The sequence below is a fragment of the Homo sapiens genome, chromosome 2 (assembly GCF_000001405.40).
Source record: "Homo sapiens chromosome 2, GRCh38.p14 Primary Assembly".
Taxonomy (NCBI): domain Eukaryota; kingdom Metazoa; phylum Chordata; class Mammalia; order Primates; family Hominidae; genus Homo; species Homo sapiens.
Genome location: NC_000002.12, coordinates 142469597 through 142489507, shown reverse-complemented (window position 1 = coordinate 142489507; position 19911 = coordinate 142469597).

The following is a 19911-nucleotide window of genomic DNA, read 5'->3' as shown; positions in this document are numbered from 1 at the left end:
AGGTGAGAGCTGTCATGTGTTACACTTTCTCATCATTAAAGACATATATGTTAAAAGATAGAGTTTGGTATACTATTACTACTAGTTGTCTGGTATTTTAAAAAACAAGTTCCAAATTCTAGTTACATCCAAGTCTTTATGAATCACTGGATACGTCGCTTAATTTCTTTGAACAGTGTTTTTTTATATTGAATTTAATTCATATAAAATAATGTACACTTTCGTGCAAGTCACTCTGTTGATTCAAAAATGATTGAAATGCAGTATTTTTCCCAAAGGAGTTTTTACTACAACCTCAGAAATATTTGATCAATATCTAAGGACCCCCATGGTTAAAAATTATATGACTCAACATACTTGTGTTAAAGGAAAAAAAAACTTAGGTTAAAAAATAAATAAAATCATTTAACTGCACTAGGTAATATTTGAAGTTAATAATAAAATATTGTTTTATTTAATCTGACAAATTCTATTGATTTTAGTTTACATGAGGAATTTGATTTATGCTTTCTTTGTCTCTTTTAATTAATAGAATCCCAGTTTATCTGAAGATTCAGTCATCACAAATCCTCTGTGTATTCCTTTTCAAATAAATGGAAATTTTGTTTCAGTGATGCTAGGTATGATAAATAAAAGAATCTCTAAAAGTTAATTTTGAACATAGTATTTTCAGAATTTAGATAGTAAGTACTTTTTAGTATTTTGAGATAGGAAATTTCCCTTTACCCCTTCAGGGAACTCATGAAGAGGGTGGCTTGTTTACTTGGCTGCCACACTCAATACCTTATGGGAGGGAGCACACAAGGGGATGGGTATAGGAACTGGAGCAGGCCAATGCTGGAGCTAGCTGGTCACTCCTCTCTGGCTGGAGCAGGCTCTGTGTGGGCCCTGTGGCAGCATCCAAGTGTGTTACAATGCTCTTTTAGCTCTGCCATCTGAAAGGCAGTGTCTGTGACCCCCGGAGCTCCAGAGGGTGTGTGTTACAATCAGTGCTCTTTTAGCATTTGCTGTCCATGGACAGTTATGTGTTAACAATATCAGTGGAGGGTCAGGATAACAGTCTTTTAAACCCTGCCCTCTTGGTACCCAAGTTCTTGTCTGGTGTCCAGGAAGAATCAGGTCACACAAACGAATTGAAAGGTTGTAAATGTGGAGGACTTTATTAAGTGGTGGAAGTGGCTCTCAGTGAGAAGGGGAGCTGGAAAGGGGGTGGAGTGGGAAGATAAACTCTCCCTGAAGTCCAGCTGTTTCCAGCCAAAATCCTTTCTGACTGTAGTTTCTGGTGTTCAACTGCGTCTTCTTCCCTCTACTTTCAGACACTTCTGTCTTCTGTGTGTATCTGCTGAGTCTGTGGTTTGGGGTTCTTAAGGGCCCAGGATAGGGATAGGGGGTGGGGCAGGCCAAAAGGCCACATTCAGGTGGGAAAAGACAGGGATAGTTCTCACTTTGGGCTGAGGCTTGAGGGTAGAGCCCTCACCAGGGACTGTGCCCTCTTCTACCCAGTATTTTCCTGCCTCCTGTCCATATCATTATTAGATATATTTCACAGAAATGGCCACGTCTCAATTCCATTTTATTTTTATTTGAGATGGTGTCTCACTCTGTTGCTGTTGCCCAGGCTGGAGTGGAGTGGCACAATCACAGCTCATTGCAGCCTCTACCTCCTGAGCTCAAGTGGTCCTCCCACCTCAGCCTCCTGAATAGCTAGGACTATAGGCACATACCACCACATCTGGCTAATTTGATTTTTTTTTTTTTTTTTTTGTAGAGATAAGTTCTCACCATGTTGCCCAGGATGCCAGGCTGGTCTCAAACTTCTGGGCTCAAGAGATCTTCCCACCTTGGCCTCCCAAGTTTTGGGATTATAGGCACGAGATACCATGCCAGGCCAATTCACATTTTAGTTTGTAAGAAAAGAGAAAGTATAATGAATTACCAAAGTTTACTATTTTTTCAACTTTTGTGAGATTATATTTTTATTAGTACTGTTTGTTTGCCTTAAGATGTCACAGCAAAGACTACTAGCCTGGTTAAACACTTACAATTACTCATGATGCCTTGAAATGTGATGGTTCATATTAGTTAAGTAAATGGCATCCTATTTCATTAAAAAATTATTTTCGATGACTATGCATTGATAATGAAATAATCTGTATGTATAATCTTAGTTTATTATAAAACTATTTGTCTGTATATGAATGTGCATTTGAGAGAGGTGTATGAGTGTGTATCTACACATCTATCTACATATTCTAACTTTGCTTACCTAGGGAGCATGTGGTGTTGTGAGTTATTTTTTCAGTCTCCCAGAGGATTTTTCCTCCTGACACCAGCTAATTCTGACTGACATAAACTGAGTTTCCTAACTTTCAATTCAATTCTGACACTAACTACCTAATCAGACTCCAAAGGTTTAAGGGCTCAGTCCCACATGACTGCTCTCGTGTCAGACAACAGTCACAAGTCCCAGGCCATCTATATTTCTAAACAGCTGGCTGTAAATTAGGGGCTCCCAAGACCCCCTCCTCAGTTTTGATAATTTGTTAGAACAGCTCACAGAACTCAGGAAGCTACTTTATTTATGTGTACCAGTTTATAATAAAAACTAAAAATGAAGTCAAATAAATTGGCATATATAGTGTGGCACAGATGGGTCCTGAGTGTAGAAGCCTCTATCCCTGTGAAGCTGGTATGCAGAACCTTCCTGACACATGGAAGGTGTCAACCTGGAAGCTCTTTAAACCTTGTTATTTAGGGATTTCTATGGAGGCTTCATTATGTAGGCATAACTGATTGAATCATTGGCCGTTGGTGATGAATTCAATCTTGAGCCCCTTCTCCCCTCCCTGGGAGTTGGGGATGGTGCTGAAAGTTTCAAGCTTCTAGTGAAGCTTTGGTCTTCGTGGTCATCAGCCCCCTTCCTAAAACTATCTCAGGGCCAGGCCACCAAGAATGCCTTCTTGAATGAAAGATTCCCCTCCTCATCTTACCAGTAAACAAATTCCAAGGGTTTTAGGAGCTCTGTGCCAGGAACTGAGGACAAAGACCAAATATCTTTCTACGATATCACATTTTCTATATTGTTTTCTTAAAATTATAGCATATGTATATTGCTTTTCTAAAAAGAAAAATAATTTAACTTATAAAATCTACCATTTATCAAAATGTAGTGTTCATATAAAGTATCTGTACAGTAAATTTTAAGTGGATAAATATTTGTTTGCTTCAATGCTCAACCAAATTGTTTCTTGAGGAATGTTTAAAATATATTAGAAGGCTTTTAGGGTGAGTGAACCAGGTTTACATGGTCACTTACATGGTGTGATTTGAGGGACACAAACCCACCCCCTCCTCACTCCCACCTCACTCTTACCATCACCACTGTCCTTACCACAGAAATTGCATTACCAAGCAATACTCCCAATCTATATAGCATTGATTTGTCTTTAAGTTAGTTTTCCGCATGGGGCTGCATGCAAGAGAAGCATCAACACTAAAATAAAACCTGAAAAGCTATATGGTGTGAATGTTTGTGTTTCCTCAAAATGCATTAAGTTGAAGTCCTAACTTCCACAATGATGGTATTAGATGTGGCCTTTAGGAGGTGATAAGATCATGACGGCACAGGCCTCATTAAAGGGATTAATGCACTTAAAATAGAGGCCCAATGGAGCTTGTTTTTCACTTCCACCATGTAAAGACACAGCTAGAAGGTGCCATCTATAAGGCATAGAGCGAACCCTCACCAGACACCAAATCTGCTGGAGCCTTCATCTTAAACTTTCCAGCTTCCAGAATTGTCAGCAATAAAGTTCTATTGTTTGTGATTCCCAATATATGGTATTTTGTTATAACAGCTCAAATACACTAAGAAAGAAAGCAGAGGAAGTTTGGACTTAAATCTCACACATATAAAAAAATTTCATTATGTTTTGTCTTTAATCTCCTAAACTCTGAAAAGTCTCTTTGAAAATCAGGATTTGCTGACTTTTGTCTAGTAACCCTCTACTCTAGCTCTCATAATTAACTTTTATTTATTTAGTGGCTCTTAGGCTTTCTAGGGAAAATCCATTTAGCCCCTTTGAAGTCTTTTCAGTTATGGCTCTACTCAACCTGGCCACCAAATTAATAAAACAAAATTGTGGATTAAGCAATAAAACATTTTTCTGTCTCTGAAGGCAGGACAGGTGCTAAAGTGTTATTACTTATAATTATTTTGTATTTCATTTTAATTGTTGTTTTAATAACAATATTTGGGTTAAGACAGAACAAGCCCCAGTTAAGTTTAAATGTTTAGTTCAGATTAAAATTTACATTTAAAATCTCCCTAACTCCTTAATTTTGGTGACAACAATGTAAAAAAGACATAATTTTGCCCTTAAGAAACTCATAATCTGGTAAATAACAAAATGATGCAAACATAATGTTAATATAGAGGAAATAAGGATCACAAACTGATGCCATGCATCAATTTCATAGTTTATAAGATATATTTATTAAATTACTTGGCCTTGTACTAAGTAGACCACTTATGAAAGAAAAAAAAACTTTTTTTTTTTTTTTTTTTTTCCAGAGAGAGATGGGACAAAGATTCAGAGCATAAGATGTTCTCTGAGGGCGCAAAAACTGAGAAACTGGAAGAGGGAGAGTAGTACTGGACTGTTTTGTGTTGTTAGAAAGTCAGTGAAGAAAAGAGGTAGAAGAAACATCGGTGAGGCTAGTCCTGGTTAAGCCAAAAAAGAGCAAACTTTGGATTCCAAGGTGATATGCCAAGGACAGACGTCAATTAACGCATGCTTTGGCTACTGTCAAGGTTAGTTGGGGGATAGTTGAGGACTGTCAAGGTTAGTTGGGGGATAGTTGAGGACGGGAATAAAATTATTTTGAAACACTCAGATGTTTAGCTTCACTTGGTCAATGCAAATGTTACGTCATTTAACTTCACATCTCCTTAGCTTACTTTTAAGAAGTTGGTAAATTAGTTTAGATAATTCCAACAATACTAAGAAAGGTGCAGGTCCTTCCATCCCCCACCAAAAGACAATAAAAATTAGAAAAACAATTTTTCCTTTGCATGTGGTCTCTGTACAAGGCAATGTGTTTCAACTGTGGATTATGAGAATGTTTACTTGAAATCTGGGACCAAATCACTGAGAGTGCTGAGAAAAAAATTTCAACTCCAAGATCCGAAGCAGCTGGCACAGCTGTGAAGCCAAGTTTGTGGGGCTTATTAGGGCAGCAGCTGGGCATGAACTGAATGAACAGAAAAGATAATTCCAATGTTTTGAAGGAAAGAATGCGATGAAAGGCACTGCTTCATCTTCCCTTGGTGAAACAAGAAAATAACTTAAAAAAATCACTAAGTGATCAGCACTTTAAATAAAAATGTCATTTTAAGGCATTCTGAAAACTTCAGGTTCTTCATCTCCCCCACACTCATTGCTGTCCTTCACAGATCATTGCCAAGTCAAATTTTCGGTTGCCTTTGATTTTTAAACTGGGCATTAGAGTGACTTATATAATATTTCAATTTCTTGAGAAAATTTAATTTGAAATAGGAAAAGCAAAGTCCAACTCTGTAGCATAACCTTTAGGAAAAACAAATTAGGGAATCTGGCATTTCCTATGTGTTCCTATCATTTGACATGAGGGCAAAGTTCTCAAAGTGGACTCTGGGAGAAGGAAGCAGAAAGTCTGTGATAATGATGTATTAAAGTTTACCTAGTTTCTGTGATATCTGCAAATGCTCTATTGCAGGATATTTCTGCCTTAGGGTGATTATTAGAGGGTTCTGGAAATTTTTTTATTAATATTGCCCTGTGATGTTAAAAATACATCAGGTCATGAATGAATAAAACCAAGGAGTATATGGTATAAAGGCTGGGTTGATCTTATTAATCATCTGTAGCAGATAAAGCTTGATTATTGTCTCACACCTCCCTTTCCCAAATCCTGTATATATTTCTCCATAATACTACATCCCACCTCTTTTCCAACTGTCATGACTCTTATGCTTGAAGAAATTAGTACGATCATGAAAATATGAATTTAATTCTTTCAAAGTGGTAATACAATTCAACACAGGTTTGCATTTGTATAAGTGGCTTCATCTATTTTATTGAGGTATATGAGCAGGTTAATTATTTTTGTGAGAATCTGATGTTTGCATATATGTGGAATAATTGTATGTTGCATCTGGGCATGACAAAGCTTCTAAATATTAGCTAAGTCTACATCTTGGCAGAAGTCTACATCTTGGCCAGGGTAGTGGAAGAGGAGATTCATTCAGGACCCAGAAGGATCTTGTGTCCTAATGGCATTGTACATAGATGTATTAAGCAAACTACACTCACAAATATTACTGAATGCAGGATAACTGTACTTAGTAAGTATATATTATGAGGTATATTTGGTTGTATACATTCATGAGATGAAAGATATGTACAAGGAATGAGGTTGTGGAATGTTAATAAAAATTGTACAATGCTTGGAAATTGGCAAAAGAGATGACTGGGTGTCCTTTCAGTGGAGTGATGAGTTTTGGCTAGTAGATTCTTGGAAGAATACCTGATTCAATAGAACTGTGCACTTTTTATTGACTTTCTAGTAGTTAAACTGCTTTACAAGTTTTTAGGAATAAAAATAAACTAACAGAAAAATCATGGTAATGAAAATGTTCATTGTACACAGTAATGCAAATGAATTTTGTCAAGATACACTTGATTTCTACCCTGTAGAAAAGATAACCCCAAATGTTACACATTTTATACCATGTAGACTCTTATCCAGTTTTGCCTCTATCAGTGAATTTATTTCATTACTTCTGACTGCCTATTCATACCTCTGGCCTTCATTGTCTCCTTTAAACTAAGTTTTAATATCGTATGGATTCCTATCTGATTTCACTTGCTAAGGCTGCTATAACAAAGTACCACAGATTGGGTGGCTTAAATCCAATGTATAGAAATACAACATATAGAAATACAATAAAGAAATGTATTGTCATACAGCTGTGGAGCCTAAAATTCTAAGACCAAGGTATCAGAAATGTTGGTTTCTTGTGAGGCTTCACTCCTTGGCTTGACCCATGGCGGCCTTCTCCCTGTGCCTTCGCATGGTTTTCCATCTGTGTTTCTCTGTCCTAATCATCTCTTCTTTTAAGGGCACTAGTAACATTGTATTAGGATCCACCCTATGACCTCAGCTTAACTTAAATTACCACTTTAAAAACCCTATCTCCAGTACAGTCACATTCGAAAGTGCTAGGTGTTAGGCCTTCAACATGATTTTTTGGGAACAAAACTCAGCTCATAACACCATTATTAATGAATTGAAGAAAATCTCTGAAAGGAGCTCATTTATTATTTTGCATGGGAGTTATTGTCATTTTCCTTTTTTGAATATTTTAATTTAGCAAGAGAAAGGTAAGGGATATGCTAGATCTTGTTAAGTCAGGTTCTATCTCTTGACTACAGAAAAGCAAGCTTTCACCCTAGTGGGAAAGGTATATGGTTTTAAAATATTTTGCTCATTGCCTATGTTTGGGCTTAACATATGTTGCTAACATTAGTTTTCTTGATACACAGTGGTCTGGTTTGGATAGAATCCCAGAACAACCAAAAATCTTCAAAAAGATTATAAAAATTCTTGCCTCGAGAATTATATGGAAATCAAATTCTCATGTTGGAGAGAAAATGTAAGTTACAAATTACCTTCAATTCTTTCTCTTCTTAACTCTAAGAGGAGAAGGAAGTCAGTAAAGGGAAGAAAATCTGATGTGTGTTTTGATAACAGACTAGCTCTCTGTGGAATCCTGTAGTTGTCACTTTATATTATCTTTCTTTATTAAAGCTAGCTTTATTAAGGCTCACTGGGACCAATATTGGTTGGACTGGCTGCTAACCTTCTCCAGGAAATGAAGCTGATTTTAGAGGGCTGATGGTATAATAGGGAGAGAAGAGAGAAATAAGCACAGGTATTGAACTTACTAGGCTCAGCTCCAAGGTTGAACAAGAGAATGAGCTTCAGTTCTAAGGACACACAGCCTGACAGAAATCTACATTTCTTGTTGCATAGATTGTCCTCATGTTGAAGACTTAAGATATAGTTCTGCTCACATTAAAGATCAGTTTCTTGAAATTGTTATGCTTATTTATTGAGTGTAAACAGCAGAAAAGGTAATATTTGATAAATTTCCTATAGATGTGTCAAAAGTGTTTAATGCTGACAAAAGAAACACAAGAAAATAAAAAGTCTTAATCTTAAACTTTTACAACTTTCGAAAGTTATATTGAAATTCCCAATAACAGCATACCAAGCTGTTGGCAAGATGATGCATGCTAAACAACCTAAGAGAGTTTAAAGACTTTTAAATGGAATACACTTTGCCTATAAATTTAAGTTGGGGAGCTCCTCCACATATAATCTCAAGTTAACTTGCAGTCTATCAACCAAGCAATTATAAGTGGATTTACTCTGCAATGAACCAAATGACTCAATTGCACTCTCATTTACTCTCTGTCTCAGCCTCAGTTTATGTATGAGGTAACAGCAATGACAAAACCTCTCATACAGGATTATTACAAAGATTTGATATATTAACCTAGCCTGTAAAAGTACTCGATAAATGGCATATTTCCTACATAAATAAATATATGTATTTTATTGTGGATAGCCAGGGCATAGAAAGGTATTGGAGCATTATGCTTCAATTTTTATTTCGTTAAGGTAACTTTGCATTGGTTTACATGATTGGGTTTGGTATGCATGATAGGAGTCATAGAAATGTGTTAGAAAGACTATTGTACAATACAATTTGTACTGTATTGTAATAGTTCAGATAAAAGATTTTGAAGCCCTAATTTAAGGTAGTAAATGTAGGGTAGAAGAGGAAATCATACCTATGAGAGATGTTAAGAATCTAAAGTTTTCAAAACTTGATCACAGAATGGTAGAGTAGGTGGAGAAAACAGAGAAGTCAAAGATATGTCCACATTTTTGGAAGGTAAAATGGAGAATCACAATAAGTCACAGGTTTTTAATAATCTGCCTTTCCCCTAACTCTTTGGCCTCTTTTTATAGCATAAAACATACAGCAAAAAGATTTTATAAAAATATAAACCAAAATGTTTCACTAGTCTCCTTAAATCTCTCCAGTGAGTTCCATGACTTTTAAGATAAAATCCAAATCCCAGTATGCAATAGGATTGCCGTGACTGTGCTCAGGCCTCTGAAATCCGTTTATGCCACACCCTTCCTCATTTTTCATGCCCAAGCCATACAGCTTTATTTCCACTTTTGAAACACAGTTAGCACTTCCCTAACTCAAGCTTCCCTAGCTGCTATCCCTCTGCCTGGACCAACTCTTCTCCATCTGACATTTGACCACCTTAAATATCATCTCCTCAGAAAAGGCCTCCCTGGCCAAATAATCTAATGTAAACCTATAATTGCTTTTTAATCATAGCATTATATTCATTTTTCTGGAGATAATCTCTTATAACATGTTAAAATAGATTTATTCACTTACTTAATTATTTATTATAAACCACTTCCAAAGATTTTCAACAGCATGAATCCAAAGACTATGTCAATTTGCTTCAGCCACTGTATGTCTATCACTTATCAAAACACCTGGTATATAGAATGCAGGTCATATATACATATCTCTATGAAAGAGTAGTAGCACACTCTAGTAGCACACGTGGAAATTTGGCCTGACAGATGTTACGGCATTTTGTTGTGGTTGATGGGAAGATATAGTAATAAAATTAGCCTGTTGTCATGGATTCTGCAAATTATTCTCAGTTTTTTTTTTTTTGTCTTTTGACATTGCGAAGACAGCACTGACATTTAAAGGGTGGAATAAGAAGAGGAATTAGACAAAAATCTGTGATTTCTTCATCAGTTACTTATAGTGTAAGAAACAATGGAGACGTCTAAGGAAATGTAGATCACCAAGGATGAAGCATCAAGAATGCAGAGTAGCCAGGCCCGGTGGCTCCTGCCTATAATCCCAGCACTTTTGGAGGCCAAGGAGGGTGGACCACTTGAGGTCAGGAGTTCAAGACCAGCCCAGGGAACATGATGAAACCTTGCCTTTCCTAAAAATACAAAATTAGACGGGTGTGGTGGCGTGTGCCTGTAGTCCCAGGTGCTCAGGAGGCTGAGGTGAGAATGGTGTGAACCTGGGAGGCGGAGTTTGCAGTGAGCTGAGATTGGGCCACTGCACTCCAGCCTGGATGACAGAGTGAGACTGCATCTCAAAAAAAAAAAAAAAAAAAGAAGAATGTAGACTAGCTTCAGAAGTCAAGTCAATTCAAGGCACAGCCAAGGGAAAGAAGATACTATAGAAGACACTGGATATTTATATTAATCCCAGAGGGATTTTAGCAGACTAAATACTTGATAGAATTCATATGCAAGTCTCTTCTCCCAGGCTGATTGGGTCTTCAGAGTAAATGTGTGTGTGTGTGTGTGTGTGTGTGTGTGTGTGCGCGCGTGAGTGTAAATAAAAAGAAGAATTTAGCAGGGAAAAGGAAAAAAAAAAAAAAAACAGAAGTGCCAGTGTAGCTTTTTACTTTTAATCTACAAAGATCTGGTGTTCCCAAACAAATCCTATGAATGTCACAGCCTCTATTGCTGTCCCAAGAGTCCTGGGTGATGAAAACGGGCAATATTTAATCACTCTATGTATGGGTGAGCTCTGATGCTCTCAGATCTCTTGAGGAAGAGAAGACCCCAACGTGTCCCTCTTTTTTAAGATAGGTGTGTTATAATGTTAAAGATCCGACATATGGAAGTATTGTCTTTAAAATTATTATATCCTCATAGACTCAATTTGCATATTTCTAAAAATAAAACAAAACCTTGATTGTAGAGCTCTTCAGCCAAAAATGTAAAGAAATTTACACATGGGTTTTAACATAAAATTTTAGTCACTTAAATGGATACTCAATCCATCTCAACTCAGTGCCCTCTTAAACTACATAATTGCAAGTACTCTTCTATTCCCATCTGCCATGAAGACGGTATTCACTGGAAAAGAACCAGATGTGGTAAACAAATTAACATGTGTGCCATTGTCAAATGCTGCTGTTCTAAAGTGTGTCAGTAACATGGCAATTAATGCCTGTGAACAGCTGTTTTTTAAGAGTATGGGAAGTGATTACTTTGCCCCATAAATGGATGAATTCACAGATGTTTCAGGTTGTGCTCAGTTGTTGGCATTTGTAAGATATATTTTGGAAAACACTGTGAATGAAAGCATGCTGTTTCGTGAAACTTTGCTGGATGATACAACAGGAAAAGGAAACTTTCTGAAATATTTCAAGTGACAACACAGATTTTAGGGTAAGATATGGTCTCCAGTTCTTCATCTAGATTTAAGCAAATCAACTATTAGAAAAATAAAGAGCCTTCTCTTGCCTACTGCTTGCTGGATATATTGTGCTATCCACCACAATTATGTAAACAATCATTTCTTTGGAGATATGTGAAAAAAACAGCATCAATAGTCGACTCTCTTCTTTATGCATATCTTCAATGGCAGTGATAGAAGAATTTAAAGTGGGCTAATAAAAATGTACTCAAGTGTTACCATTCATTCTTGATCAAAAAATTAAACCTGACATACTAATTAGTAATCCATTAAGGTTTACAAGGTCAGCTTCGTGGAATATCTTTTCCTTTTTTCTCGCTTTTTGGATGATATTAACATTTTTGAGACAAAGAGACATGCATCCCATCCTTATTATTGCTGACAAAATTGAAGCTGCCATAGAATCAGAGGCTTAGTTAATTAAATTAAAAGGCAATATTAGGTTTATTTTCTGCCAAAATAAAATACAAACACCAACCAGATTTATCATTCATAACCATTTTTAAGAAATATGGAAAAAATTGTGATAAGAAAACAGTTGGCTTTCTCAAAGTAATAATTATATTTTTTCCTCCCAGAATTATTTAATCATTATGAAAGTTATTTTTCTTCTCTTTCCTTTTTTTTTCTTTTCTTTTTTTTTTTTTTTTGAGACAGAGTTTCACTTTGTTGCACAGGCTGGAGTGCAGTGGCACGGTCTCAGCTCACTGCAACCTCCGCCTCCCAGGTTCAAGCAATTCTCATGCCTCAGCCTCCTGTATAACTGGGATTACAGGCGCTCGTCACCACACCCGGCTGATTTTTTTTTTTTTTTTTTTTTGTATTTTTGGTAGAGACGGGGTTTCACCATGTTGCCCAGGCTGATCTTGAACTCCTGAGCTCAGGTAATCCACCCATCTCGGCCTCCCAAGTGCTAGGATTAGAGGTATGAGCCACCTTGCCTAGCCAAAAGTTATTTTTGCATCTTTAATTGTGAATTCTTTATTCTTTATCAAAATGGAATGTAAGCTTTATTATTACCCCATACTACACAGATACACTTGCTTATTGACCCTATTTCAAAAAAGTCAGAAAATGTATTCAGATTACATATAGTGTTGCAAGAAAACAATTTCAATCAACTGCTTCACATTGTGAGGAATTACTGCAATTGTGGTAGTTTATCACAATAAATTCACACCCATGATTGTGAACTAAAGAAAAAAGATTCCAAAGTAAAATCAAAGAGGAATATATTCTGTTTTTCAATTAACCTAAACAACCAGGTTTCATAGAGACAAAATTAGTTACTTTCAACCAAGGATTTATAAAGTAATACATTTGGAGGTAGTAACATATGAAGAAGCAGATTTAGGCTGGGTGTGGTGGTTCACACCTGTAATCCCAGCACTTTGGGAGGCTTAGGTGGGTGGTTCACTTGAGGTCAGGAGTTCAAGACCATCCTGGCCAACATGGTGAAACCTCATCTCTACTAAAAATACAAACATGAGCTGGGCGTGGTGGTGGGTGCCTGTAATCCCATCTACTTGGGAGGCTGAGGCAGGAAAATTGCTTGAACCCAGGAGGTGGAGGCTGCAATGAGACGAGATATTGTGTTGCTGCACTGCAGCCTGGGCGACAGAGAGTCTGTCTCAAAAGAAAAAAAAAAAAGAAGAAGCAGATTTAAAACCATCTGAGATGAACCTGAATCGTATTTTTCTGTTCTTGTTCCCCAGTGCAACACCTGCACTTTTCTAGCCACTCTATAATTTCAGCTGTTTTCTCTTAGAATTCTAGTTGGAAAAAACAAAAAAAGCCCATAATAAACCCCTCATAAGGTTTAGATCTGTGTCCTTGTCCAAACCTCATGTTGAATTGTAGTCCCCAATGTTGGATGTGGGGCCTGATGGGAGGTGATTAGATCATGGGGATGGTTTCTCATGAATGGTTTAGGACCATCCCCTTGGTACTGCCCTTGTGATAGTGAGTTCTCATGAGATCTGGTTGTTTAAAACTATGTAGCACCTCCCTCCTTTCTCTCTTCCTCCTACTCTCATCATGTGACATGCCTGCTTCCCCTTCACCTTCTTCCATGATTGTAAGTTCCTTGAGGCCTCCCCAAGAGCCAAGCAGATGCCACCATCATGCTTCCTGTATGGCCTGCAGAGTGTGAGCTAACTAAACCTCTTTTATTTTTAAATTACTCAGTCTCATGTATTGCTTTATAGCAACGTGAGATCACACTAATACAATTCTTTTTGTCTTTTGTGCCTCTGAAGGAAGAAATAGATATCCACTGAAAAATGTAAAAAATGCATTAGTAGTTAAACACATCTAAATTATTTATTTGCATTAGTATAAGTGGAATAATTAAAAAAAATATTTATATATTTGTTACTTTTTTATTGCCATGATGAAGTAACAGAGACCAGATTATCTTTCTACTTTAAACAGTTAAAACACAAAATATTTGAAATGATGGACATTGGACAATAAGCATAATGGGGCAATAATTCCTGAGAGAAGAAAAAAAATATGGTGAGCCCTTCGATGGCCCCAAAGTACCACATAGAAAGTATTTCCAAAAACGAGAATTGAAAGACACAGTTCAGATTTCAGGAAGGGCAAAGTAGGTAGAATTTGTAGGGTGGAGTGCCACAGAGGATAGAGCTGAAAAAAGAGAGAGGAGAGAGAGAAAGAGGACAGATAGAAGGAGAGAGAGAAAGAAGTATCTCTCTGAAATTATGGAGACATTTCCCTTTAAGTTTTCACCAGAGTAATAATCAATACAAGGATATGTGGAAACTACTGACACTGGGAAAGGGACCCCTCAAAATGAGCCTATAGAACCACCTTCAGAGTTCACATAGGAACAGGAGCAGTTTGTTCCCATCAGACACAATGGAAAGGCCTTCTGATGCATGTGATATTGAGTAGAATTCTCAGAAGGATATTGCCTCAGTAATGAGCACATGTTAAAACTAGACTACACTGATCTTAGTCCACCTAGCATAGAAACCCTCAAAAGGATCAAATTCTTTCCAACTAATTTAACTGTATGAAGAAAGAGATTTAAAAATATTTAAAGGAAAACAAAAACTGTACACCAAAGCACAAAATTCACAATGACTGGAATAAAACAAAATTACCAGGAATGCAAATAGGCAAATACAATTCATAATGAGAAAAAACCTCAATTGACAGAGACACAACAAAAGATATGAATATGAGAATAATGTGCAAGGAACTAACACCACAATTATAAATATATACCGCATGTGCAATAAAATAGATGTCCCATAAATATAAAAAAGAGAAGCATGTGTGACATAAACATGGCCCAAATCAAATTCTAGAAATTAAAAAATTAGGTATCTGAAATGAAAAATACATTGGATGGGATTAAGACTAGATTATATGTAGCAAGAAAAGATGAGTAAAATTGAAGACATAGCAATCAAAGTTATACAAAGTTGAAACATAGAAAATATAATTCACAAGTTTACATACTAATGTAAGATGCTAATATTAATGGAAAGTTGATGTGAGGTATATACTCTCTGTACTATTTTTACAACTTTTTGTAAATTTAAAACTATTCTAAAATATAAAATATATTTAAAAATTGAACAGAGGATCAGTGTGAGCCACGGGACAATATCAAACAGACTATATTAATGTATTTATAGTAATAGGAAAGGAGAGAAAATACAAAAATTATTTTAAAAATGGTCAAAGTATTTTCAAGTTGTATTAAGTTATAAAGCTACATATTCAAAAAGCTCATCAAAGACCAAGTGAAAAAACATGAAGAAAACCACTCCAAGTCATAGCATAATCAAATTGCTTAGTCTATGATCCATGTGACAAGAAGCATGTTCTTTAATCCTTCTCATTTTCTGCACATTATTTTATAAGCTTGCCTCTGAGTTTTCTAGACTTAAATTTTGCCACATCACCACGTTACTGTCTAGCTATTTTGTACTGCTAGAATTCTCTAGAAAACTTTATATTCTCACATGCCTACTTCTTCTGCATTAAATGGTTTTCCTGTTTTTGTGTAGTCCAGGGCAACCTATTTGTTCTTAAGTGTTCTGCTTAGATGTCACCTCTTCTTCATGGTCTTCCTTGAGTTCCTTCTATGTGCTCTGTAGGTACTCAGAATATGCTTGTTGAATGAATGAATGAAAAGATGGATGGATAAATAAGTAGTAATTAAGATAAAGTTAGTTGTTTCATCTAAGCTAGTTCACTGGTACAAACTCCTTCTCCTTGGAATTCTCTTGAGAAATCTAAGTCTTTGGACTAGTAGGTGACCATCTATTCTGGTTTATGGTGTAATAAGAAAAGATGAATTATTATGGAGAATACTTTCTCAGGCTTCTGCCATTCAGGGTTTCAGCTCTCTGATGGATGACAGATTGAGAATGGACACACTTCCTCACAGCTCCTTCAGTTTCTGCAGAGGATCTACACACAGACATACATATGTTTCTGCAGCCATAAAGACCATGATATCAAAATGTAGCCAAGTCTCATTGTTATTATGATTATGGCAGTTTAGACTTCATGATAAAAACAATACTAAAATCATTAGTAAGTAATAATAATAATTATTATTTATTGTATAACCAATGTTATTCTAGGAACCAAGGCCATGACTGAGATGAGGCAAGTGAGATCCAAAATTTAAGGAGGTGCCCAATATCTCAGTAATGAAGGTAAACATATTTTAAAGCAATGCTTTTTTTTAAACAAAAACTAGTGAAAAAAATCTATGATGAACAAAACATCAAAATTTTAAGCAAAGATAGACTCAGTATGACTGATATTTTGTCATCAGTCTCCAATGTAACTTGGTGTGATGCTTTTACTGATTCTGCTTAAGAATTATGGATTGATGAAAAATTAACTGTGCCAACAGACATCACCTGAAAACTCATTTAAAAGGATATATGTTATCTAGTTTGGTGAGTTACCACATCCTTTGACATAATCTTTTATTGTAGTATAAAGGTGCATGTCAGAGTCAGTGTCCACAGTAAGATCATAGTTGTATAGCCTGTATAAAGATCAGAGAGGATGTAGGCTCTTGTTTCCTTCTGAGTTTCCTTAAGAAAAGCAATGATCTCTCTGGACCATACTTTTCTGAACTTTCAAATGGTTAGAAATAAATATACTGCAAAAAACAAAAACAAAAACAAAACTCCTCATATGTTTACCTCAGAGGGTTACTGTACTTTGTAAAACAAACAAAAGAAAACAATTTTATGTTGCCTTTTATTAATGTCATCTACGAGTGTTCTTAATTTCAAGGTTAAGACTGATTTGCCAGGAGAAGATCTGAACTGAGCTAGCTCAGTGATCTTAGAGCAATACTTGCAGAAATATGACTCTGCTTGGCTGTGTGTAAGCCAAAAATGTTTGACAGCAAGATAATTAGGCAACTTCAGAGCAGCATGCCGAATGGAGCAAGAAGGAGTACTGTAGATTCAAACTTACACACCCCTTTGAGCCATATGGCACAGCTGTGGAGTGTGAAATATGTCAGACCAACAGAAGGGGCCATTGAATCAGAATTGAATTGATTGATCTTGAGCAAACACACCAGGAATTTTGCAACAGGAACAAATAATACAGGTTGAGCTCAGCTTGATCATGTTACTAATTAATCATTGACTTTCCTATGCCACCTTATAGTTTACAAAATGCTTTCACAAACAACTCCTTTGAGCCTCATAGCAAGCTTGAGAAAAATGTGAGCATTGATGTCACATCTACATGGAGAAAACTGAGACCTAAGTAGATTTGTTCAATTTTATTTGTGAGTAAGAATTGGAGCTAGTTCCTAAAGCCATCTGGCCCCAAATTAAGTAATTTTTCTATTGTATCACCTTTTATCCATTTCATTGTCATATGCAGAGAGGAAAAAACACCAAATTACTCTTTCCTTTTCTTGGTGACATTAGCACACATATATGTTGACAATGTCTTGCCTTTATATTTTTACCTTTATTCTTTAATTTATTATTTTGAACAACCTCAAGGTTACAGAAAAATTGAAAGTATTACAAAAATAATTTTTCCTTTACCATTTGAAAAAGTGGCTGTCACGTGTCTCATCACCCCCAGATACTTCAGTATGTGGTTTTTAGAGCAAGATAATGTTTTCTGCAAATCACAATACAACCATCAAAATTAGCACTGACATATTACTACCATTTATTCCTTAAAGTTGAGTTGAAGCTGCCATCCGAGTTTTACCAAATGTTCCAAAGTGTTCCTTATGGCAAAAGAATTCAGTTCAGAATTGTATGATGCATTAATCTCTTTAATTTTCTTTATTCTAAAATGATTTCTCAGTCTTTGCTTGGCTTTCTTACATTGGCACCTTTATTGATAGAGGCCAGATATTTTATGGAATGTTTCTCAATTTGAATTTGTCTGATGTTTACTCACAACTGGATTCAGGTTGTTCATCTAAGGTGAACATATTAAAGAAGTAATATTGTATTCTGCTCGTTGCATCTTATTAGGTTGCCTAAGATCTCAATGTGTCACATTTATGGTAATGTTAACTTTGATCACTTGTTTAAAGTGGTGCCTACCATGCTTCTTCACCATGCAGACGTTGAATTTATTCATTTGTTTTTGTAAGTCGCTGTAAATTGTGGTTTCTACTTTATTCAATAAGCTGCTACCCATTAACATCATTACTTCTTTTGATGTTCAAACTGTCCCATGTTTGGCCAGTGGGAGTCCTTTACATCGCCTTCTGTGTTCTTTTGGCATCTCTGTTCATCATTTGAACCTTTTCTTGTTTTCTGGTATAATATGATGTTCTAAGGTCATTTTGTCCTTTCCTGCCCAATCTCTAAAATCAAACTTTTCTGCAGAGACTCCTGGTTCTTTCTGGGTGAGAATGAAATTTAGAAATCAATATCTGAGTTCAAGGTGTGCTTATTACTATTGGGATGTCCCTGCTTCCAGGATTTTTTGATGGAAAACCTGCAAAACACATTCACAGACGCATATTTACATTTTTATATATTTCTGTATTTTTACATTAAAAATAATGAGTTTTTACAAATGTGGAAAGCGGGAAAACTAGTGTAAATCCTATGGTATTACATTGCAATTAAAAGTCTTTCTACATTTGTAATTTCCTTCTTTGTTAGTGAGAAACCTAGTTTCCATTATTATCAGCATAATTCTTTATATGATCAGTTCCCCGTCTATGTACCCAATATCCCAACACTGCTGCTACCTTCACACATAGATGCCTTTCTTATCTCACTTGAGCTCTAACATCTCACTCCAGGCTGCACTGCTCCTACAACATGTGAACGCCCTCATCTCTCCAACTTTATCCCAGCTCCCTGAGTAAGACTACACTATAGCGTGGAATTCCCCCTCATTTCACCTCTCCACCTGCCTCACCTGGGGTCTGATACCTCCCGACAATGTGTTCTCCCATGTGGAGATACGCTCTTCTTACTAAGGTTATCACTTTCATACTGTATAGTCATCCCATGCAGGTGTCTTTTTCAACCCACTTGGGTTCCCACACCCAGAGAAAAAACAGCCTTTATGGAGACATCTTTCTCATACTATTCATGATCACATTCTCCATGCCGAGTTCCCTCTCCCATGCTGGTATTTCCTTCTCAGGCCATTCAAACACTGATGCTTCCATTGGGTTAACCCCTCCTCATCCCATTTGGGCTCCAAACCCCATGCTAGTCTACCTTATAATTTGCTTCCTTGTACATTGTGCATGCCATCCTCACCTACCTTTAGCCATGACATCCCACACTGACTACTCCCCTGACCCCTATGGTTACCCTATCTCATGGCTTGTAGACTGATTTTATTGTGTGTGCATGTGAAGGGAATGGGAGATGGAAGGGGAAGAGGAAGAACAAAGCATTGTCTTTAAACATAGACAGGATGACTTTCTCGTACCATTGTCCTTTTTGTCTTACAACAGGCATTTTTTTTAATGAAACTGATTTGCGTGTTCTTTCATGTTGTTCAGATGTGATAATCTCAAGCCACATCCCAGAGTGATATTAATGAAGTGCAGAAACCATATTCTATAATATATCAACAATATATGATGCCATGTAGAGACTATATTTTGAAGGATGCTTTTGAAAGAATACTTCATATGACACCAGATGATTGGAAATTGGTTTCCATCATGTTGGCTCACTTGATAGAATAATTTTCCATTCGTGGTAATTAATTATGACATTTTAATGCTAATTGGACAAGATTGTCTTTATTAGTGAATAAAACCAATTGGCTTTTTGCTCTTTCAGAGAAAAGTGTAAAAACAATAGAAAAAATACTTGAAGCTATAACATCAGCAGGGAATTATTTTGACAGCACACTTTATAAGGAAAAATGTGTGTGAAATATGCTAGCCTAGTCGTTCTTTTTCAGTACCTTCTTTCATTTTTATTTTGTGACTCTTTCCTTACCGAGTATGTTCTTGGCCTGTTATGTTCATTATAGCATGTGTGTAGGTATATGTGTATATCTTAATT